The 25,124-nt window shown below is 38.8% G+C and overlaps 1 annotated feature.

Annotated features, from left to right (window-relative positions):
• Nucleotides 309-478: an enhancer, noted in NCBI's record as "experimental_75696 CRE fragment used in MPRA reporter constructs". NCBI's record gives its function as "activates a minimal promoter by MPRAs in K562 erythroleukemia cells, with activity observed for the non-introgressed 4:164156802 variant allele {active_cell/tissue: K562}" and the evidence as "EXISTENCE:reporter gene assay evidence [ECO:0000049][PMID:34662402]".

The following is a 25,124-nucleotide window of genomic DNA, read 5'->3' on the forward strand; positions in this document are numbered from 1 at the left end:
AATACAGCCATTCCAAATGGGAGAAATTGGCCAAAACAAAGAGATTACAGGGCCCATGCAAGTCTGAAATCCAGTGGGGCAGTCAAACTTTAAAGCTCCAGAATGATCTCCTTTGACTCCAGGCCTCACACCCAGGTCATGCTGATGCAAGAGGTGGGTTCCCATGGTTTTGGGCAGCTCTGCGTCTGTGGCTTTGCAGGGTACAGCCTCCCTCCCAGCTGCTTTCACAGGCTGTTGTTGAGTGTCTGCAGCTTTTCTAGGTGCATGGTTTAAACTGCTGGCAGATCTACCATTCTGGGGTCTGGAGGATGGTGGTCTGCTTCTCACAGCTCTACTAGTCAGCTCCCAAGGACTCTGCGTGGAGGCTCTGACCCCACATTTCCCTTCTGTACTACCCTAGCAGAGGTTCTCCATGAGCACCCCACCCCTGGAGCAAACTTTTACCTTGGCATTTAGGTGTTTCCATACATCTTCTGCAATCTAGACAGAGGTTCCCAAACCTCAGTTCTTGACTTCTGTGCACCTGAAGGTTCAACACCACATGGAAGCTGCCAAGGCTTGGGGCTTCCACCATCTAAAGCCACAGCCTGAGCCCTACGTTGGCCCCTTTCAGCCACAGCTGGAGTGGTTGGGACACAGAGTGCCAAGTCCCTAGGCTGTACAAACCACAGGGACCCTGGGCCTGGCCAATGAAGCCACTTTTTCCTCCTGGGCCTCCAAGCCTGTGATGGGAGAGGCTGCCATGAAGGTCTCTGACATGGCCTGGAAATATTTCCCCATGGTCTTGGGAATTAACATTAGACTCCTTGCTACTTATGCAAATTTCTGCAGCCAGCTTGAATTTCTCCACAGAAAATTGGTTTTTCTTTTCTATCACCTAGTCAGGCACCAGATTTTCTGAACTTTTATACTGTTTCCCTTTTAAAACTGAATGCCTTTAACAGTACCCAAGTCACCTCTTGAATGCTTTGCTGCTTAGAAATTGCTTTTGCCAGATACCCTAAATCATCTCTCTCAAGTTCAAATTTCAACAGATCTCTAGGGCAGTGGCAAAATGCCACAAGTGTCTTTGCTAAAACATAACAAGAGTCACGTTTGCTCCAGTTCCCAGCAAGTTCCTCATCTCCATCTGTGACCACCTCAGCCTGGATTTTATTGTCCATATCAGTATCAGCATTTTGGGTAAAGCCATTCAATAAGTCTCTAGGAAGTTCCAAACTTTCTCACATTTTCCTGTATTCTTGTGAGTCCTTCAAACTCTTCCAGTTTCTGCCTGTTACCCACTTCCAAAGTTGCTTCCACATTTTCAGGTATATTTTCAGCAACACCTCACTCCTGGTACCAATTTACTGTATTAGTCCGTTTTCATGCTGCTGATAAAGACATACCTGAAGGAAAAGAGGTTTAATTGGACTTACAGTTCCACATGGCTACCGAGAGGCCTCAGAATCATGGTGGGAGGCAAAAGGCACTTCTTACATGGTGGCAGCAAGAGAAAATGAGGAAGAAGCAAAAGTGGAAACCCCTGATAAACCCATCAGATCTCGTGAGACTTATTCACTATCATGAGAATAGCATGGGAAAGACTGGACCCCATAATTCAATTATCTCCTGCTGGGTCCCTTCCACAACACATGGGAATTCTGGGAAATATAATTCAAGTTGAGATCTGGTGAGCAAACAGCAATACCATGTCACTGATCTTATATAGGTCATTGACAGTCCTTGAATCCTGGGTTCTGCCTGTGCCATCAGGTTATTGTGGGGTTAAGATAACATATGCAGATTACTTATCTCCTGCCATAAAGATCCATGACATTAATAGTGTTGATCTCATACTCTCAGAGTAGGTTAGAGTATTCTATTTTAAAAAAACATATCAATTTCCATTTCCAACAGAAAGAGGAGTGAATAAAACCAAGGAAGGGAACAGACAATTACTATTTATAAATTTATGGCAGTATTAAATACCAATTTTTTCATAATTATTGTGATTCTTAATTTAAATAGTTATTGTGTTACTTTTTAAAGTGGAAACAAAATGTTCAAAAAACCTTTTTCAGCTTTGCTTTCATTGATTAAAAAAGGCACAAGTTTCATGATACAAAACATTGACTACTTTTTGATATAATTGAATTGCCATCAAGTCCTTGAAAATTTTTTTTTGTTATTGAAGCATGTATGCCTTGGAGATTATAGTAGCTCTTGCTTTTTGTTCTAGAAAAAAAGCATAACTTAATTTGAAATGTGTGACTAATATAATTAGGGAATTAATATAACTCCAACCCCTGGGGAATTAAGTGATTTTCTAGAGACATCCCTAAAGGATACTCACTGAAACAACTCCTGTCTGACATACAAATTACTCTATAAACCAAGGCTACAAACTGTCAGAGTGAACAAATAATAAGATGAGTATCTTTAGCTAGTTGCTTAAACTGGTCAAATCACTGAATTTGACAAGTCTGCGAATTGAATAAGCTTCTTACCATTTCGGGACCTCAAAGATCCTCATGAAAAACTAAGAAACAGGATCAGATGATGAAGGCACTGTCTAGATCAGGGTTCTGTGATGTGCCTGATATCAACATGACCTAAAAATATGGATACTTCAACCAACAATCAAGGGTTGAGAGGAAAAATAGAAAACTCTAGAACGATAAAGAAATGAAAGAAAATTGTGTAGCCAAAGTACTGCATATTGCTAAAACTGAAGAGAGAGAGAGAGAGAGAGAGAGAAATGTAGCATGCAGTGGGTATAGTATAAGGGCAGAGGAGCCTAGTGGTGGTGAAACATGATGGCTTCAGAGTCAGGTTGCCTCTATTAGAATCCAACTTTCATTCCTAGCCTTTTGGCCTTTGGCAAGTGACTTAACCACTCTGTGTTTCAGTTTTATTTTCTGTAAAATGGTAATGGCTCCAGACACTGCTTGCCACATAAAAGCACTCGAATGTTAATTATTGTTCATATTATTAAACGGATCATACAGCTGATGTTCAAAGTGATCCCTGACAGTATCCGACATAATGGGTACTTGACAAATAATCATTGAATTTAATTAGTGAGTGATTGAATGAATCAGTGTATCTACTACAAACTTTGAAAATAAATTTATATTTGAATTTTTAACACATCTATAATATGATAAAAGACAAAATGTATTTTCTGTTTCTTTTATTGATCTGCTTTAGTCTTAGAATTAAATTGTGCGTATATTTCAATATAATTGCTCTTAACCTTATTTTAGGATTGTGTAAATAAAAACTAAAAGATATCAAATAAGTATTTTAAAATTTTGATGGGTTGGCTTTTTATTTGGCTTTTTATTTTATTTGGCTTTTTAAGGTTAAGCTCATAACCCAAAGGCCTTTCGGTGAATCTATGACATTTAAAAAGTAGCTGATCAATCAATGTAGAGTGGTTACCACAGACTGAGGAGATGGGAAGGGAAGATGGGGAGGGATTCAATGAGTATGAAGTTACAGTCAGATAGGAGAAATAAGTTCTGGTGTTCAATTGCCCAGTAGGGTGCCTATGGATACCAGTAAAGTATTATACAAAATAGCCAGAAAGAGGCTTTTGAATGTTCTCACCATAAGAAATGATGAGGGCATGAGCTGATGGATTAGCTAACTCTCCTCATTTGATCATGATATAACATACACACATGTCAAAATATCACATGGTACCCTATAAATATGTACAATTACAGTGTCAATTAAAACATGTTAAAAAGAAAATGAAATTAATTAGTCAATGGAGGGTATGTAGACTTGTGATTAACCAGGCAGGTTTAAATAATAAATAAATGAGACTACGTTTCATTTTATTTTTGAGATAGTGTCTCGCTCTGTCACCCAGGCTGGAATGCAACACAAGCATAGCTCAAGCTTCTGGGCTCAAACAATCCCGCTGCCTCAGTCTCCAGAGCAGCTGGGGCTACCAGTGCACACCACCACACCTGGTTAATTAAAAAAAACATTTTTTTTGTAGAGATGGGGTCTCTCACTTTGTTGCCCTGGGTGGTCTCAAGCTCCTGTGCTCAAGTGATCCTCTTGCCTTGGCCTCCCAAAGTGTTGGGTTTACAGGTGTGAGCCACTGTGCTTAACCTAGACTTTATTTTAAGTCTTATATTTCAGTCTGTATAATTTTGCAGCTGAAATACACTGGTATTGAAGTATATAATCAATCTGATTCATGTTGGGACATTTTAATGGAACCCCAGGAAAGGGTTGACTATAATCACATTGCTGCTTGTGGTTTCATTATATAGATATCTGTGCAATTCAGAAGAGAAACAAGGAAAAATAGAGCTTGCTGCCATCACATTTTTAGTATCCTGGCCACCGCTGTGTGAATGCTGCAGTAACTCTACCATTATATGTCACAGTATTATTTAATGACTATGGACTGAATTCATTTAGTATTAAGGGATAAGACTGACAAGGATTCAAAACATGATCTATTTGGCATTAAGAGAATACCAAAAGAACATTGGCATGGCACCTACTACTCCTTTCCAAGGACATAATCAAGAGATAGTTGGAGAACCCACACAACCCACAGTTCCCAGGTGGCTGAAAAAATAAATGGATCATTATAGCCTAGCAGAGTTTTATGATGTTTGAAACAAACTGTCCATGACTATTTTTTTCAAGTATAGAAACATCTAGGAACTCATTTTTTGACATTAAAAAAGAGATTTTGGTAAATTATTTTCAAAGGAAGAAAGTAATCCAATGGGAAATGGAGGCAAAATAATTTCTATTGTTTTTTGCTGCTGCTTCTGCTGTTATTTTTTACTTTGACTAGAAAAAGCAAATGCTTTTATTTGAAATTTAAAGTTACAGTACCCTTACTTTATGTAAGAAGTTATGTAATTTGGTTACTATACATCTAAGTTTAGCAAAATAGTGGTTCCAATAATTAATAGAAACTTGTTGCACTCTTTGTTAAAGTTAATGTATTTCAGTTTGTTTGCACATATATTTCATCATGGTTTGACAATTTTGACAGGCATAACTGATTTTGACACAACCAAATTAAGAGAATGAATATATTTATTTATTTTGAAATCACTTTGGCATAATTACATGGGCAAACATGATTGAAATAATCTGCAACGGATAAACATATGGCAGTTTAAAAGTGAAAAAGCATACAGTTTTCAGCAAAAAAACCATTTTCTGCATAGATATAAAAGTTTCCTTTTCTCTTTAGATCTATTCTATATTCTACAGTTTAATTATTTTTCAAATAATAGCTTTATTAAAATGTCATTCACATTCCATAACATTTATTAGGTTCTTGAACAGGCATGTGTTTCCATTCCCTTGGCATATATCTAGGAGTGGGTGTTGCTAGATCTTATCAAATGTTAAACACTATGTTTATAAGATTTGAAGTGATCAATGAATTGAGATATAAAGTGATTGATTGATATTTAAGAATTTGTGGATTGTTGTTAATTCTTTCAATGTTTGGTAGAATTCACTTGTGAAGTCATCTAGTCCCGGGCCTTTCTTTGTGGAAAATTTTCTATTATTAATTCAACTTCTCCCTATAAGGCTATTAAGATTTACATTTCTTTTTGAATTAGTTGTGTTAGTTTTTGTCTTCTTAGGAAGTTGTTCATTTCACTTAAGATATCTAATTTTTCCCATACTATTGTTCATACTATTCTACTTTTTATTTCTGTAAGGTTGGTAGTGATGTTTTGCCTTTTATTCCTAATTTTAGCAATATGAGAGCTTTTTTTGGCAGTCTAGCAAGAGGTTTGTCAAATTTGTTGATCTTTTCAAGGAACCAAATTTTATTTCTGTTAGTTTTCTCTATTGTTTTTCTTGTCTCTATTTTATTTTCTTTACCTTGAATCTTTATCATTTTCTCCAGGCTTTCTTTTGGCTTAGATTTCTCTCCTTTCTTTTGTTATTTAAAGTACAAAGTTAAGTTATTGATTTAAAATTTTTTTCTTCTTTTTTTTTTTAACAGAGCCACTTACAGCTATACATTTATTTCTAAGCACTGTTTTAGCTGTCTCCCACAAATGTTGTGTTTTGTTTACATTTATTTTAGAGTGTTAGAAGCTTCTTATGTGAGTTCTTTTTTTGCATATTGATTATTTAAGACTATTGTTTAATTTTACATATTTATGAATTTTGAAAATTTCCTCTGTTACTGACTTTGTTCGTTTGTTTGAGACACAGTCTTGCTCTGCCATTCAGGATAGAGTGCAGTGGTGTGATCATGGCTCACTGCAACCTCAAACTCCTGGGCTCAAGAGATCCTTCACTTCAGCCTCCTGAATAGCTGGGACTACAAGTGCACACCACCATGCCCAGCTAATTAAAAAACATTTTTTTTGTTTGTATACACAAATTATTGCTATGTTTCCCAGGCTGGTCTTGAACTCCTGTCATCATGTGGTCCTCCTGCCTCAAACTCCCAATACATTGGGATTACAGGTGGGAGCCACTGCTCCTGGCTTCTGATTTTTAGTTTCATTTTATTATGTTTATAGAACATACTTTCTTTGATTTTGATCCTTTTAAATGTATTTAACCTCTTTTTCTGTCCTAACATAGATTATTTCATGGAGTATAACCTATAGCCCTTCATAAAAGCGCATTATCCTGTTGTGTGCAGTAGTGTATGCACATCTGTTAGGTCTAGTTGGTTTATATTGTTTTCCAAGTCTCATATTTTCTCCTAAGTTAGATATCATGTGTTAAATATAAAAAAAAACAAGAATCACTCTATAGATGTAGTGACTATTATTAAAGATGATTTAAAATAAAATTCTTCTAAAACAAAAAAGATACTATATTTAGCAGCAGCTTGGGCAGTCTTTATAAATAATAAATAACTTTGATGTGAATTTGTTCACATTATCAAGCTAAAGAGTTTGGGTGGCAATTCAGAGGATAGGCAAGAAAAAAAAAGAGGCAAAGTCCACTATAAGCTTGGACTTTCTTACCATTTGATCCTGGTCTCTCCTTAAATCTCCTTAAATCCACTGACTTAAGTTTCCTACACCCAGTGATAACCGATTTGTCATATTCTTCCCCAAATAACCTGTTTCACCTATCTTTTCACCCAGAGATAAGCAAACATCTTTCACTTCACTCTTTTCTATTCCTTTTCCTACTTTTTACCCCTTTTGCTGTTGTGCATTCTGATTGAAACTGTGATGGAGTGCCTCTTCCCTCTATTTTGATGACTCTTCTTATAGAAAAATAGATTTCTTACCAACAATTCCCTTCTTGAACTTATTGGAGATGATAATGAAAAGATTCATTTCTTATTTGACCCTAACTCTGTTTTTACAGGAAGTCTCTGTCAGAAACATGCTACCACATGGAAAGATCTACATGGCAAGGAACTGAAAGAATGAAAGAGGACCCCTTCTAATAGCTAGCAAGAGGCTGATTCTGTCAGCCTAATAGCCTGTAAGGAACTAAATCCTGCCAACAACCACGTGTCTTGAAAATGTATCCTTCCACAGTCTAGCCTCAGATAAGAGTCTACCCCAAACAATAGCTTGGTTGCAACCTTGTGAAAGACACTGAAGCAGAGAACCCAGTTAAGTCACACCCAGATTTTTGGCCCAGAGAAATTGTGAGATAACGAACATACCTTGTTTTAAGCTGCTAATTTTGTGGGAATCAGTTACACAGCAATAGAGAACTAAAAAATTTGCTCAAGGTAATGGAAGTAATAAGTTGATGAGTAAGAATGTGAAACTTGACAGTTTGATTTAGGAAGTTTATGCTAACAGCTGCAATTTTATATTTTTACATTGGAACATTTTTATTTTTTATGTTTCAGTAGAAATTGTTCTAGTACCAGTTTTAATTATAAAAGGTACCATGATAAAAGCCAAAATCGGTTACCTGAGAGTAAGATGTTCCTATCTAATAGAGTTCTTGGGTATCTACTTGCATCCATTGAGAAATAAAGATTTGGAAAGTATTCTGAGTGAGGGAAAGACTTGAACTTTGCCCATAACTGGCATTCAGATAAAGACAAGTTTGATAAATACCCTAGCAGTAGTCATACACATGGGAGATGATGGGGTTTCTGATATTAAATTTCTGTGAGAGGGGATTGCATCTAACACAATCATCTCAACTTTAAATGAGGCTCTAGGGTTGAAGTAAAATGATAGCTCAGAGCACAGCTTGGTGGCAGTTACCAGTTCTAATGGCATCTCAGTGCTCTGTGCAGAAGAGGACTGTGTAGGAGTTGAAAGAGATGTTTCCTTTGACTCTGAAACTCTGACACTGAAGCAAAGTCACTGTGGGACCCAATTAATTGAGTGTAAGACAGAGGATAACATTTCTCTCACTTGGCAAGTATGGTGAGAGAGCCCCAGCTCAACAATTCCAAGGCTCAAATAATTTTGTCACCAGTGACAGCTTTATTGGGCAGCAGGAGCAGAGGTCTGTTTGTCTGTGGACCTGTCTGTTCCTGAGGCATGGGAGCCCAGCCCAATGAGTTGTGGGAAGGACAGCAAGCAGGACTCATACATATGTGAGTGGAGATAAGGATAGGGAATATTGCAGTCAAGCAGAGGAGGGTTTACAGATAGAGTGTTAATGTAGGTGTCACGATATTTCACGTGTAGGCTGATGATGCCAGAACATTAAGTTATATAAAGATTAAAGAAAATAAATAAGCTATGAAATTCCACAGCCCAATCACTCACATGTCTGTGCAAAATATCTCTCGTGTAAAATTGGTGATTACATTCTGAAGAAACTTGTTTCTGAATATTTTATGCTGCCATAGTTATTTGAAACTTGGCAGTCTGAATATTTATGCTGCCATAGAGTTATTTGAAAATACAAAGTAGAATTATTTAAATTATTCTTGAAAATGAATGTGTTCATTAAGTCAATGTACAGCCACTACTAATTAAGCGCCTCTTTGTAGGAGGGAGAGAGAGAGAGAGAGAGAGAGAGAGAGAGAGAGAGAGAGAGAGAGAGATACTACTGAAGCCTGAGTAGATACGAAAATATCTCCGTTAAGAAGTTTCAAACCCACTGAACCAGACTGAAACTGATGACTTGATCATGATATTTGTCAAGTTAATGTCTAAAGACTTTCGTCTGTGAAAGATAGTGAAACAGCTATGCAAATTTATGCATAAAAATAAAAATCCCATATGTGCCTAGAGGGAGAGGTTTCCAGCCAAAATGCTAATGATATGACATAATAATACTTAACATTTCTATAGATTTTAATTCAAAGAGCTTAAAATGTACTACAAATATCTACTAAATGAGAATAAGCCGTATTGTCTTCCTGTGTTACACATTTCAAGAGTGACTACATTTTAATTGAACAAAAATATATGCATAATAATAAAATCTTCAAAGTGAAAACACCAGGAAATGGCTAAATAAACTGTTTAAGATTTTAAAACATCTCACTGATCCCATTGAATTAAATGTATGATCAAAACTGCATGCAAATTTGGACATCTGAAGCATTGTAAAGATGATTCTATTCCACAAGCATTTTTGTTTTTACTATATGAGCTATCATAAAATGTTTTGAACTAGTGTGAATTCCAGGTTATATGAACAAAACATGGCTGCTGCCTAAAGGAGTTTACAAACTAATGGGGGAATAAAACAAGTGAGTGGTTCTAATATTAATCAGATGTTATGTGCTAAGGAGCTTTAAAGAAGGCTCCATGAGGAAACAGGAGTAAGTGTCTGTGATCGGCACTGGAGAGGGCAATTGAGACAGATATTGGAGTAACAGGACTTCCCACACTTGTACTGGAGGAAGTACATTTGAGGCATAATAAAATAATGTTCACGGAAGCCAAAACTGATGAAAGGGATCAGGATATGCCACTCCAAAATATGCCACTTTGACATAAGCATTATTTGGAGCTGAAGGCATTTGAATTCCTGAAGTCCCTTATCTGCCTAAAAGCAGAGGCTCTCAAAAGAAGTCAGAAGAACTCAATTATCATAAATCCCCTCCCTGGGAGCAACTCTAATCTCTTCTCAGAGATAAAATGTTGAGAAATTGGCACCACAGCCAAATAGACTATTGTCACAATGTCGTATCTCATAGACATTGTCACATTGTCATATCTCCCATTTATTCTCCTAAGAGCCCACTGACCTTTCCAAAAAGTCATTTGCTTTTCTGTAAGTACCCTTCTCCCCACTCTATTATGCTAAATTAGGTATATAAACCCCAAATTCTAACCGCCCTTTTGAGTTACTCATCACTGAGCACTTTCCTGTGTATGCACTGTGCACATGTTCATAAACATCTGTTTGTTTGTGATCTGTCTTTTGTCAGTCTCATTTACAACCTCCCCAGCCAATGAATCCAAGACGGGCAGAGGAAATAGAAAAATGTTCTCCCCTACACTGACACACTGATAGAGTGTGATGTGCGTTAAAGGGAATGATGGGGAGTAGCCTGAAAAGGCAAGTGATGCCAGACTGAGGAAGAATTATTTTCTTCAGGTAATGAGAAACAACTGAAGTGCTTTGAACATGACAGTGACAGAATTATGTTTGATTCTTGAATCTGTTTTCATAGCTCTAATGTTATAAATCTGACACAGAAAAGACAGAAATAGAAGCAGTTTGGAGAGGGAGAATGATAATTTTAGTTTTAGACATGGAATCATAAACTGTTAGTACAAAGTCTTAGAAGTTATTCCCTTAGCCCACAGCCCCTAATTCCCCAACCCTGTTTTTTTTTTTAACACAAGAAACAGAGAACCCCAGATATAACTTACTTAACATGCTTAAATCCATGCAGTCAATCAGTGGTGTTTTAAGGTGCTGATGGTATGTTTCAATAGAGATATCTAGTAGGAGATTGGAAATGTAAATATAGATTTCATAAAAGAGTTGCAAGTTAGACCTATAGATTTGGGATTCTTTCTCATAAAATTTAAAAGAGCATTCAGTTGGCGGTGGGTGGACAGGCAAGAATAAGGAATAAGAATGAAGGATAAATTATTCCATGAAAGGTAGACATTAGAAAGCATGCTTCTAATCATTTGAAAGCTACTTTGGCATAAAAGACCTGAGGCTAGATTGGAGAGCCCAACTTTGAACTCAAATGCTTCATTTTTTCCTATAGTTTATTGCCTGGGAGTGTTGAGACAAATAAGTTTTAATTTAGGGTTTTATTAAGAGCATTACATGCATTTTCTCCTTTAATTATCACAAAGTCCATGAGGCAGGTAGTTTTATTATTCCCATTTTATAGACGAGTAAACAGAGGGAGAGAAAGTTTACAGAGCTTGCCTAAAACATTAAAGTTAGTGAATGGACTATCCGGGATTGCAGTCCATTTATTCTTATTCTTAGGACCTGTCATTTTAAATACAAGTGCACCTTCCCATCACTGCCTTTGCTCTTCTGTTTTTCTTCTGGTATTCACTATATTTATGCGTATACCAAGACACAGGAATATGAAAGATATAAGAAAAAAAATCAATGTCACTGAATAAAACGTATTTTGTTATCTTTTTCCTACGGAGAAAAATAAAACATTCAGTTAATCTGTTTTTCTTTTATGTAAAGAACAAAACCCACAAAACATTGATAACATGTTTTATTTTTGTATTATGAGTAGAAAACCGAATAGGAATAACAATGAAGACAAGGGGCATGAAGAAAAAACATGAAGAGAATTAGAAAAATAGAAGCAAAAAAACCGATTGAGAGAGAAAAAAACCAGACATATGAGGAAATCGGGAAACTAAAATTGATGAAGCTCCTACTATGTATCACTGCCCGTGGTGGCAGTGTTGATTGGTTTCCGACTTAGGCCAACCTGTGTGTTCCCTGCTTTCATGGCTCATCGCCTAGGATAGAGACAAAAACTGCCAGATACTAACATTTGCAGATACCCTGACAGTTAGGGCATGGGCATATGCCCTAATATTGACTGGAAAGCCAAGACATACAGAGATATCTGAGATAAAACCAGCCTTCCTGCTTGGCAGCAATGATGAGGAAGATTGAACCTAGTATTTTGGCAGCCATCTTGCATGACTGTTCAAGTCTAAGGATGAAACAATCTGAAAAGAACTATGAAAAAACCTCACTTCCTCATGACACTCTGTAGCCACTAAATGAACCAATCTTATAGTTATCCAACCCTTGATTTCTTGCCTATATATATATATACATACATATATATACACATACATATATATATATATACACATATTCACTGCTTTAGCCTTTTTTTTTTTTTTTTTTTTTTTTTGAGACAGAGTCTTGCTCTGTCACCCAGGCTGGAGTGCAGGGGTGTGACCTTCACTCACTGCAACCTCTGCCTCCTGGGTTCAAGCAATTCTCCTGCCTCAGCCTCTCAAGTAGCTGGGATTACAGGTGCCCGCCACCATGCCCAGCTAACTTTTGTATTTTTAGTAGAGGTGGGGTTTCACCCTATTGGCCAGGCTAGTCTCAAACTCCTGACCTCAGGTGATCCCCCTGCCTTGGCCTTCCAAAACTGCTGGGATTACGGGCATGAGCCACCACACCCAGCCTGCTTTAGCCTCTTTTAATTAAGTATTCTGTTAGTTGCAATGGAAGAACTCATTTTCCCTGATTTTTGTTTTTTGTTTTTTGTTTTTGATGCAGTATTGCTCTGTTGCACAGGCTGGAGTGCGGTGGCATGATCTGGATTCACTGCAGCCTCCACCTCCCAGGTCCAAGCAATCCTCCCACCTCAGCTCTTGAGTAGCTGGAACTACAGGTGTGCACTACCACACCCAATGAGTATTTTTGTATTTCTTGTAGAGACGGGGTTTTGCCATGTCACCTAGGCAGGTCTTGAACTCCTGGGCTCAAATGATTCGCCCACCTCGACCTCCCAAAGTGCTGAGATTACAGGCATGAGCCACCGCACCCGGATGGAAAGAAATTTTAATGAATACACATATTCATAGCAAATCTACAAGGTAGATATCATCATCACATTTTATATTTAAGAAAATTCAGGTTCAGCAAGGTTAAGTTTCCAAAGGCATACAGTTAGTAAATGGCTAAACATGGCTATGAACCTCTAACTCAATATCTGTAGAATTTATATTCATCTTATACAAGGCTGTCATATTAAAAGTGACAAAGATTGAGAGACAGAAATGGAAAGAGGCTCAATGGATTTGAAATAAGGATAGTTCAAGATGATATGCTTAGGTTGTATGTTTTAGAACCTTAACAGTTATTATTAAATATTGTTTAGCCATTATTCAAAGCTCTGTACCTTAATAATTTTCTAATGCTTACTTAAAATAATGCAACAAGTGCAGTTTAGCAGCAGACATTATTCTCTGAGCTTCCTGTTAGTTCGAGAAGTATTACCCAGTCTGTATGAAGTCAGATGAAGGGAAAGGCCAGAACGTTCTGTAGCAAGTTCTCCACCACTGCTATTAAAATAGCTTCAATAATGTCTTTGACTTGAGCAGCACTTATAATGTCTAAAATGCTTTCACCTAAATTACCTGTCTTAATGATCACTGAATAACAAAAGTGAAAAAAAAATAAGGCACCAAGAGATTAAACCCCAGGGCTGTGTAGCAAAGTCAGTGCATACAGGGACACCCAGTAGCCTTTCAATGTGACAAGTATTTTAGAGTTGTACCAAATGTCATGTCCAAAATGGAAAATGTTTTGAATCATAATAATCAGTTGAATAAAGGATGGCAAAAAGGAGGAGGAGGAAGAGAAAGAAGTCCAAGACTGATGAAATATAAAAGACAATAAAGAGGAAATAGGCATCAAGTAGTCATTGTCTCAGAAATGTGGTCAAAGTTGGTGGTAGGGAAAGGCACTCTAGAAAGATCGTTAAGGTCAGGAGGAGTTGATGAGAGACAAATCTGAATAGACTTGGAAGCATATTTCCTTTCCTCTTTTGGTAGTTTAGCCAAGACCTGGCTCAGCTGCCATCTGCAAAGAGACGAGGCTTGGGATGATGTCAGCATCCCTGGCAGGCAAGGTTGTTCCCAGAGCTTTTGGTGGGCAGACCTTGGCCCTTGGTATGCATATTGCTTTGTGCTATTTCTGGACATCCCTTGATATCTTTCTTGTTGCCTAGAGAAACTAGATGTTCCAAGTCCCACTTAGGTAATCTATAAATAGGCAACACAGTGTTTGAGGTGGACTCATTCTCACTGGTGAAAGTGCTCCCCATACTGTGTTCAGCTTTGTCTCAAGCCTGCTGGTCATGGCAAGCTCCTCTCTGCTTGCACCTTGTCCATGGTACATACAATATATCTAACCCCAGTTTATGCTATGGAACAGAAAATGTTTAGGGGGTTGCATGCACTCTGCTACTTCCCTGCTTGTAAGTTTTGGCCCAATAAACCCTATGGTATACCTGCAACATGTGATCCTAGTGTGCATGTCTGTGATCCCTTTGCATGATAGAAATAATGGCAATAATAGATGACACCCTTAATATAACATGACAGAAAAACAGAAAAATCTGACAGCTAGCAAAATGGTCCACATGAGGCTATTGCCTACACTGACAAGTGAAGATTGATAATTGAGAGAAAGACAACAGAGGATATTGTATTAGTCCATTTTCATGCTGCTGTTAAAGACATACCTGATACTTGGTATGTCTTTTTACAAAGAGACTGGGTATGTCTCTTTTCTTTACAAAAGAAAGAGGTTTAATGGACTTACAGTTTCACAGGGCTGGAGAGACCTCACAGTCATGGCAGAAGGCAAGGAGGAGCAAGTCACATCTTACGTGGATGGCAGCAGACAAGGAGAGAGAGAGCTTGTGCAGGGAAACTCTGCCTTATAAAGTCATCAGATCTCATGAGACTTATTCACTATCACAAGAACAGAATGGGAAAGACATACCCCCATGATTTAATTACCTCCCACCAGGTCTCTCTCCCAACATGTGGGAATTCAAGATGATATTTGGGTGGGGACACAGCCAAACCATATAATATATATATATATATCTGATACTGGGAACAGAAAAGATTTAGGGGCTTGCATGCACTCTGCATGTGTATGTGTGTATATATATATATATCTTATATAACTTTAAAAAAACAATCCATCTCATGTAACTTCAATTATATAGTCTATGGTAAAATTAATGTCTCTCTATTTTTGTCATAAATTTGAGGAGGTTTATCCTGGTCATTGATAACCCTCATGAATGAAGAAAAGAAATATTACTTTAATAGGTATCTCACTATTTCTCTGATCTACAAAAAGTCACATGTCAAATTTTTTGTCATCTTTTTGAATTGCAAGTTTGTTGACAATCTCTAAAGCCCTGATCAGTCCTGTCCTGGTGCAAGAGTGAGCTTCTGCTTAAATAAATTAAGATCAGAGTAACTCATTCTTTCTTTCCTCAGAGTGACACAGTCACTATCCTCAGGAGGCACACACCCTGGTAGAGAAGACAGACATTAAAAATCAAAACCATCTCTAAAGGCCAGATGTACAAACCATTACCATAAAATTATGTGAATAGAACATTTCCTTAATTTGGAACTCAGAGAATGGTGCAGGGTGGTATTTTATTTTCCTCATAGTTTATTCGACATCACAAAATCCACCTTAGGTGTGTATTGAGGAGTCTTTTCTTGTTAATTTACTTAATCTTCTTCCTGGGTCTTTAAGCTCTTCGATCTCCCTCAGGATCTTGGATTGCAGTCAATTATTTCTATACTTTTCCCCTCTAGTTGATCTTTGGGAAGAGTAGGTGGATGCTCATAGGTCCTTCAAGTCTCTCAGGAGGAAACATCTGAAAGAAAAAGAAAATCTTTCTTCTGTGAACTGCCTCTTGTTGCATAACTCTCTTATCTCTGTTAACAGAATCTTTGTCTTTTTGCTTTTGTATCAGAGGAAGGAATTATGGTAGGAGAGGAGAGGTATCACTTACCCAATATAAGCAAATATTTCATTACAAATGAAATAAATGTCATGAGGGCAAATACTGCAGAGACCTGACCTAGTGTAGTGGTTACTTTAGTGTGGTATCCAGTTACTCTTTCAGGATGGCAGCTCTGGTTCTCCCAGTGCTGAGAATGCCGCTTCATTTGGAGTTGCTATGAGCACTTTGCTACTTCTCCACAGGGGGAGCAAAAGAGGAGTATGATTGGCATTGAGGCAACTCACTTAAGCCGCTCTTGCTACTCTTTCACCCAATTTTGATAGACAGTGCAACAATCACAGCCTGAGAAGGGCACAGACTCCACAAGGATGAGTATATGTGTCACAACAGACTCCTCACCATGAGATAGCTTGGGGTGAGGGAATGTCAAATAAACTGTAGAGGAGGGAGGCAATGAATATCAGATGCAATCCTGAGACCTGCTGCAGCAGTAGGGACTATAGTTTGTCACTCTTATGAATTTACTCCAGGAAAAGAGGCCCACCAGAACTTGTATATTAACAAGTGGATAAGAGTGGCCCAAGAGGTGGTCTTCAGTGAATGCTTCAGTGAGCTGTATTCTTACAGCTCAGTGTTTCCTTCTGCCCAATTCTGCTTCCTTACCTTCTCTTATTCTTGGTGAATAAGAATAAACCAAAAGAAGGGGCTAGAATAGTTCAGTCTAAGGCAATGGTTCTGAATAGAAGTAATCCTCCCATTCCCCCATGGGAGCATTTGGCAATTTTTGGTTGTTAAAACTAGGGGTTGCTATTGGCATTTAGTTGAGTGGAGGCCAGGATTGCTGCTAAACATCTTATGGTGCACAGAACAGCCATCCACGAAAAGGAACTATCCAGGCCAAAGTACCAATAATGCTGAGGTCAAGAAACCTTGGCCTAAGGGAATGATAAATGGAGAGGGCTCTGAAGTGGGAAGGAGCCTGGAATAATTTGAGGAATTAGAAGCAGCCAACTGTATCTGGAATAGAGTAACTGGGAATGGAGGGCTGGAAAAAAGGTGCAAAGGAGGTAGTGTAAAGGAAGTTGATTTTTATGTTACTGGAAAGCTATTGAAAGTTTCTATTCTAGTGAACAATATAATCAGATTTATGTTTTTAAGAAATAACTGGTAATGAGTGATGGACTAGAGAGAGGAGAAGAGGGTGTGAAAATATCATGTGAAACATGTTGGTGGCTTGGATTAGCCTGATGGCAGGGGAGATGGAGAAAAGCAGAAGGACTTGAGTGACTTATGAGGAACAAGTAACAAACTTAATTATAGATTGGAGAGGTAGCATCTTATCACATTTAAGTGCACAGGCTCTGAAGCCAGAGAACGTGGGTTCAAATTCCAACTTTGCCATTTACTAGTTCTTCAGCTTTGAACAGTTACATTTGTTGTCTTCATGTCCTGGATTTTGACCTATTGCTATGACTATGACATGAGTTAATTATTGTAAAGTGCTTAGGAGTGCCTAGAACATGGTTTGTGCTATATAAGTCTCTCAAATTAATCAAAGAAATCAGGGTGAGAGATGAGACTCTTGTTTTTGTTTTTTTTCTTGGGGCTCAGAGGGTTTAGCAGGGTCATAAGAGAGCCCTCAGCTACAGAAACATCTGGGAAATTTAGTTGTTAACATGGTCAAAGCTGCTGAGATGTCAAGAAAGATGAGAGGAGAATTAGACAATAGTTTTTATAAGTAAATCTTGACTATATTCTTAAAAATTGAGGTCTATACTAACAAATTGAGTTACTTTACTGTAAACCAGGAACTACTAGCAAATATCACTCCCTAACATTATATTGCAGTGAGTAAAATGTTCCAGGTTTGATTCCTCTTCTTCCCAAGAGGTAATTAAGTGTTGAGCTAATATTAATTCAGTTATCTTTTGCCACTTTGTGACATTAACTATTACTTGTCTGGGTCATCAATCTAAAGAAATTCTACCAATAACATTTTAAGAATTTTATGAATCTGAAGACAGTTTTAAGTCTCTATGTTAATTATCTTTTTCTTACTAAAAAACAATTGTTTTAATTTTCCCTTTCCTTCAGATGTATAACCACCTTATGTCACAGGATCCTTGGGGTGTTGCTTTTCCAGCCAGAAGCCTCTGTGGCCAGTGGTATCTTTGCCCAAGTTTTGCTCAGGCCTGCTGGGCTTGTTCTGCTCACTTGGCCTGGTAGGCTGCACTTGGCTTTTGCTACTGACCTGGATCCCATGTCTGCCAAGGATGAGCCAGGCACAGAGCAATGAGGGGTGTCTGAGCGAGCAAGAGCAGGGTCCAGCCACTGCACACTGCCAGACACGCCAGCTGCTATGGCTGAATGGGCAGCTCCAGGAACTGGCTTCGTGCAAGCCTGCAGCTGAATCTAATGCTCTGCAAGCAGCTTCCACTGTGGGCACCCATGTCTGGACAAGGGGAATGTGGAGGCACCTGGAAGCTTGGAGACACCAGAAACTGCAAAGCCCCCAAAAGGATGTCAAAACCCTGGCTTGGGAAGCCCCTAGGTCTGGGCTCCTGGAAGAGCCATAGCTCTCCTCTCCTTCTAGTCACCTGCAATATGGTGAGAGAGGGGGGTGTATTTCAGCCCTGTTTGTATTATAGCTCTTTTAGTCCCCCCAATCAGCAGGTCCCGAGTTCTTGTCCCACTTCCAGGAAGAATGAGGTATGCAGACAACTGGAGGGTGAGCAAGATGAAGAGGTGCTTTATTGAGCAACAATACAGCTCTCAGGAGACCTGGAGTGGGTAGTGCCTATCTGCAGGCAGGTTGTCCCGACATCTCTGTGAGTCTGGCTGGGGCTGGGGTTTTTGTGGGCTTCAGAAGGGAGGAAGTACATGCTGACTGGTCCATGGGCAGCCATGGGTGGGCCTGTAAAAAGCAACAAAAGTTCTCACTCTAGGCAGTGGACTCCACCCAGAACTGGCAGCCCCAGCCCCTATCCTTCAGGCTGTCCCTGGATTAAAGGAAAGGTTTCACCAAGGACCCACCCCTTTCTGCTCAGAAACCTGTCTGCCTCCTGCTGCTATCAACATGTAGTCTCTGGAACTTCAGCTGTCCCTGCTGAGGGGCACCGGCAGGCCCACACCCAGCCATCCCCAGAGCCCCCTTGGCCTCCCTCTCATGCTCATTGGTGCCCAAAGTCCAGAGGGGGTTGAGGTGGCAGGGAACTAGAATGTCAGTGCCACCCTGAGCACATGCACACCTGGCCGGGTCAAGATAGCACCCTGGCTCAGCCACAACTTTGCTCTGAAATCAGAGTGGGTGGGTGCCAGGAGCAGGGAGAGGCCAGGCAGCAGGAGCAGACACTTCTGAACCTGAGGGGAAAGGGGGACTTTCTGAGCCTTCACGAGTGCAGGGATGCCAGGGTCGACAGCCTGGGAGGGTGGGGCTCCTGCACCTCCAACTCAGAAAGGGCAGGGCTCCCACCTGTTCCCAGCTGCTGCATGTTCCCAGCTCCGGTCAGCTCCATGGAGTGTGCAGCCCCAGCCATACCTCCCCAACTGCAGCTGGCATCTTCACAGGGGCCAGTCCACAGGGGCCGCAGTGGCCATCACTTACAGTCTGCAAAACCAGAGTATAATTGTAATCAGTGTATAATAATTGTTATACTTATATATAAAATATACCTATATATTATAGTTCTGTATTAGTCCATTTTCACACTGCTATAAGGAACTGCCTGAGACTGGGTAATGTATAAAGTAAAAAGGTTTAATTGACTCACGGTTCTGCATGGCTGGGGAGGCCTCAGGAAACTCACAATCATGGCAGAAGGGGAAACAGGCATGTCTTAAATGGTGGCAGGCGAGAGAGAGTGTGTGAAAGAGGAACTGTCAAACACTTATAATATCATCAGATCTCATGATAACTCACTATCATGAGAACAGCATGGGGAAAACCGCCCCCATGATCCAATCACCTCAAACCAGATCCCTTCCTTGACTCATAGGGATTATGGGGATTACAATTCTAGATGAGATTTGGGTGGGGACACGGAGCCAATTCATATCAACTTCTAATATATTTTTCGAAGTATAATTATATTAAGTTATACATATATTATGTATAAGTTATATATAACATATACATTTTACAAAAATATTAAGTTATACATGTATTATGAATAAGTTATATATAACATCATATGTGATACAAAAATATTTACTGCATTATTTTAACACAGTATGTTTTTAAAAAATTGTGAATCTTTCACCTGGGTGCTTGGAAGTAAATCTAAATGTGCAAAGGAGTCTATCTATGGGACATAAAACAAAGATAAATTCGAGGAGCAATCATCCAAAATTATAATGCTAAGTGCTACTTAAGTAGCCTAATTTCACTTGAAATTTCTTAGCACAAACAGCTAATAATCCTTATGATTTCCAACTGTTTATTTGGAGCATGGTTTTTCAAAGCAAGGTAAAAAATTTACAGGAGCATTGTCTGTAGCAATTTCTTTACTTCAACAAACACATTTGGTTGATTGCGTGAACCATGGAAGTTTTGTTTGTTTGTTTGTTTGTTTTTAAAGAAAGCCATAGAGGGCTTGGAAAGCTTGTTTTATGTACCACAGTCCTAGAATAGAAAGAAAAAAAGCCCAGTGATAAATTTGAAGTGTTAATTGGGTAGAGAAAAATAGAAATTGTTTTGCTTGTATAAGGAGTGTTAATTCTGGAATTTTGTAAAGTTGCACTAGTGAGAAAAAGAAAATCAGTTTTAATATCGCCTGAGCATAAAGAGGTTCATCATAGCACAGGCCACTCATATGTTGATTTTGCATAGATTTTATTTCTTACAAATGTTTTCATAAATATTATCTTAGTTCTCAAAAGAAACCAATGTTGTGTATACAAGTCATTGTAGTTATTTTACAGATGTAGTAACCAAGAATCACATGTGAAATTCACAAAGTTTAGTACATATGTGAATTCATTTGAATTTTAGTCCCTTGACTCCAGGGCCAGAGCTACTTCACTCCATTCTGATTCTCATTGTGTGTGTTTTCTTCATTTAATTCAAAAAGCTTGAACCTTCTAAATGAAGCCCAGTGACCCGATTAGGTCACCACCACCAATTCTCCTTATGTTTTTGGAAACATCTCAGAACTAAATGTACTAATCCAAGGCCAGTTTAAATTCATGTCCTTGTGATTCTATTTTCAGATAATTTTTGTTTTCCTAAGTGGCAAAGATATTGTTTACACTTTAATTCATCTTCCAGAAAGAGATATCTACATTGTATATGGGCAACATTTAGACTGTCATGCAGTACATGAGGCATGGTGGCAAAATATTTCCTTACCAACTGCATGGATTGAAAAACCTATGTCTCAGACCTGGGCAGGTGACAGACCTGCCACTTATATACAAAAGTCCCAGGAGCGAGATAATGATTATGCAAGACTAAAGTGACTCTTATTTTTAGGGTCGTTTGAAAACCTGTCTACAGAGGACAGGGCCATGTCTCCTTTAACACTGCATGTCTAGGCTAATACAGTGCCTGGGACAAAATGCATGCTTAGTAAATTCTTGTTGAACAAATGAATAAATGGCTTTAATCGGTCTCAGCAGGCCTCCAACACTCATAAAAGACTGCATAGCCTTTAACATCCAATTCAGCAATCATCCATTCAGCCAGTCAACAAATATGTAATGAGTACCTTTATATGCCATACTGATACAGAAAGGCTGGGCTCCTGGCCAAATCTCACCCTTAAGCCTGGAACTGTGGCCCTATGTGAAAATAGCTGATCCTGCTTTTCTGCCCAAATGTTGCTTTTTTGGCCTACCATGCCCCGATCCTGTGCCCATAAAAAGACTTCAACTTGCATCCATGACTGCATGCATCAGCCACTTGTGTTGCTCTGCCAGCTGAAGTTTTTTTATGGGCACAGGAGAGATGAAACAGGATTGTTCTCTTGACCTTGACCCCCTTCATGGGCAGGAACTGGAGTAGCTCATTTCACTCAGCCTGCTGCTGGCCACACCTCACAAGAGGGATTGTGCAAACAAGTGAGGTCAGGAACCAGAGGGAACAAATGCTGAAAGTGGCTGATCACTCTTCTCTGATGGAAGTAGGGTCTACGTGGGCCCTGCAGCAGCATCCAAGCCCCTACCCTCTAGGAACCTGGGTTCTTCTCTGGCATCCAAGAAGAATCAGGTCACATGAACAGATTGAAGGGTAGTGTATGTGAAGGATTTTATTGGGTAACGGATGTGGCTCTCAGCCGAATGGGGAGTTGGAAAGGGGTTGGTGTGAGAAACAGGTAATCTTGCCCTGAAGCTGCACCATCTGAAGTTAGCCATGTCTATCCATAGTCTCCGATGCTCAGCTGCTTGTTTCCCTAGTGTTCACCAGCTTGTATCCTCAATGTTAAGCAGTTTGCATCCCCGACCACTTGCATCAGCCACTTGTGTGGCTCTGTCAGCTGCAGTCTTTTTATGGGGGCAGGATAGGGGCGCGGCAGGCCAAAAGAGCGGCATTTGGGTGGAAAAACAATGTCAGCTGTTTTCACTTAGGGCCGTGGTTCCAGGCTGAAGGGTGGGATTTCGCCAGAAGCCCAGCCATTCTGTATTAATAGTACGTTAGGTGCCGGAATAAATACATGAAAAATAACTCATTGAATTAATATTGTAGTGGCAAGAGGCAGAAATGGACAAGACAAAAATAAAATATTTAAAATATTATATGATGAAACAAGATAAGGACAAAAGTCAAAAGATGGAGATAAAAGGGTTGGTTTACAAGTGATGGGCAGAGTAGCCAAGAACATCTTTAATTTGTGACAACTATTGTTATCTTCCTTTCATGTTTTCAGCTACCAAACGGTATCTTAAAATTCACATCCATTTCTATTCTATTTTATAGGCTTACAATTGAATGCTGATTTTTACTAGCACCATATACATACACAAATGTCATAGGATTTGTCATCTAAGAACTTCCATTTCAAGGGCTACCCTCTAATAACAGTGAAGGATTTGTAGGACACACATGATACACATTAGACAGACTCTTGATGTTGGGATGGTGTTCAGATTAAAGCTTTAGAAGCTCACAGACCCAAACAGACAAACCAAACCCTCTGAAAATAAAAAGCGGTTTAAAGCCTTCACAGAAAGTGTTTCAAACATAGAAAATCGAGTCATATAAATGTATCAGATAAAATGCACTTTCTAATTGAAAATCTTGAGCTTCCAAACAACTGCAAAAACGAAATAAAATGAAGTTTTACCTAGTAGTTCTTCAGAGCATAGCAATGATTTGGCTGAATATTTCTACAACATCAGCAATCAAACTGTATGAATCTACTTGTTGAATTATTGTAATAATAAAAATTGGTTTTGTAAGGCAAGTTTAGAAAACAGGACTTGAAAGAGAAACAGAACACAGAAAGAACTATATGAAAATATTAATTAGAATAACCAATAAAACAATACTTCTTAGAAGTAGATTTTAAGATATAATATAGCCATGATCAAAAGAGAGGAAAAACAGATGCCTTTTTCCTTTAAGCATTTTTTACTTTTATTTTTTGATAGGCAAGCAGAGTTGAAGACATTTACTTTAAAAATTGATGAGACAAAGGTTCTTCAAAGTTCTCAACACCTTTATTTATTGGTTTAAAAGATTTAAGTGTTCATCTCTCTGTACAAATATTTACTGAATCTTTTCATATACATTAGGTTGAATCATATAAAATAGCTGATATGCAAAAATGGCTATTTTATATGGGCTTACCCCATACTTTTATATCATGAACATTATAGTTTTTTTTTAAAGAAGGTTGTGAAAAATAAATATAATGGGCAGTTGTTTGTCCATTCCAATGAATAGTCTTCCAAACTGCATAGGTTCCTTTAGAGTTCTGTGTACTGGACTACAAAGCTTCAAATACAGTATAGGGTAGCAAAAACAAATAGTCCAGGTAAGTGAAGTCAAGTAAACTTCCTTCCTGGCTTTTTACTCATCCTTTTTGTATGTCTACACATCCTTTGCTATTCACTTCACATATATTGCCTATTGAAAAACTTCTTGGCTAATTAAAGAATCCTTCCTGGGTTAGACACATCTGCACTTTCCTCTCTACCTTCCCCTTTTTGTTTTGAGAGAGGGGGGAAAGATCGTGTTCTGTTCGTTACAGCTTTCACCTTTATATCATACTTTTGAAAACAACTTAGATTTGGCCAGGCGCAGTGGCTCACGCCTGTAATCCCAGCACTTTGGGATGCCAAGGCAGGCGAATCACGAGGTCAGGAGATCGAGACCATTCTGGCTAACACGGTGAAATTCTGTCTCTACTAAAAATACAAAAAAATTAGCCGCGCATGGTGGCGGGAGCCTGTAGTCCCAGATACTCGGGAGGCTGAGGCAGGAGAATGGCGTGAACCCGGGAGGAGGAGCTTGCAGTGAGCCGAGATCGCGCCACTGCACTCCAGCCTGGGCGACAGAGCGAGACTCTGTCTCAAAAAAGAAAAAAAAGAAAAAAAAAACAGAAAGAAAGGAAGAAAGAAAGAAAATAACTTAGATTTTAATTTTGAACAATTTGTTTAATCATTTTGAAGAATTAAAAGGCTTATAAAAGAATCCAGAACTTGGCCCGGCACAGTGGCTTCACACCTGTAATCCCAGCACTTTGGGAAGCTGAGGCGGGTGGATTGCTTGAGCCCAGGAGTTTGAGATCAGCCTGGGCAACATGACAAAACTCCATCATTATAAAAAAAATACAAAAAACAAACAAAAAAAACAACAAAAAGAAACGAAGGTTGGGCATGGTGGCATGTGCCTGTGGTCCCAGCTGCTTTGGAGGCTGAGATGGGAGGATTGCTTGAGTCTGGGAAGTAGAAGCTGTAGCGAGCTGTGATCACACCACTGCACTCCAGCCTGGGAAACAGAGCCAGACCCAGCCTGGGAAACAGAGCCAGACCCTGCCTCAATTAAAAAAAAAAAAAAAGAGAATTCAGAATTTAAAATTTTAAAGTTTCGTCTTCACTATTCTATTCATGGATATTATTTACTTTATTGTTTCCCTTCTAATTCAGGCTACATAATAAACTCACTTTGATTAGCATTCGTGGTCATAGTATATAAAATATACAAAAAAAATTTCAAATGTTTAGGGAAAAATTTGATCATATTATTTTTACAAAGAATGCATACAAATATTATTCTAGGCCAAATATTATTCTAGGCACTTGGGTTGTATGTGTA

This window comes from Homo sapiens, chromosome 4 (genome assembly GCF_000001405.40).
Source record: "Homo sapiens chromosome 4, GRCh38.p14 Primary Assembly".
In the NCBI taxonomy this organism is placed as follows: domain Eukaryota; kingdom Metazoa; phylum Chordata; class Mammalia; order Primates; family Hominidae; genus Homo; species Homo sapiens.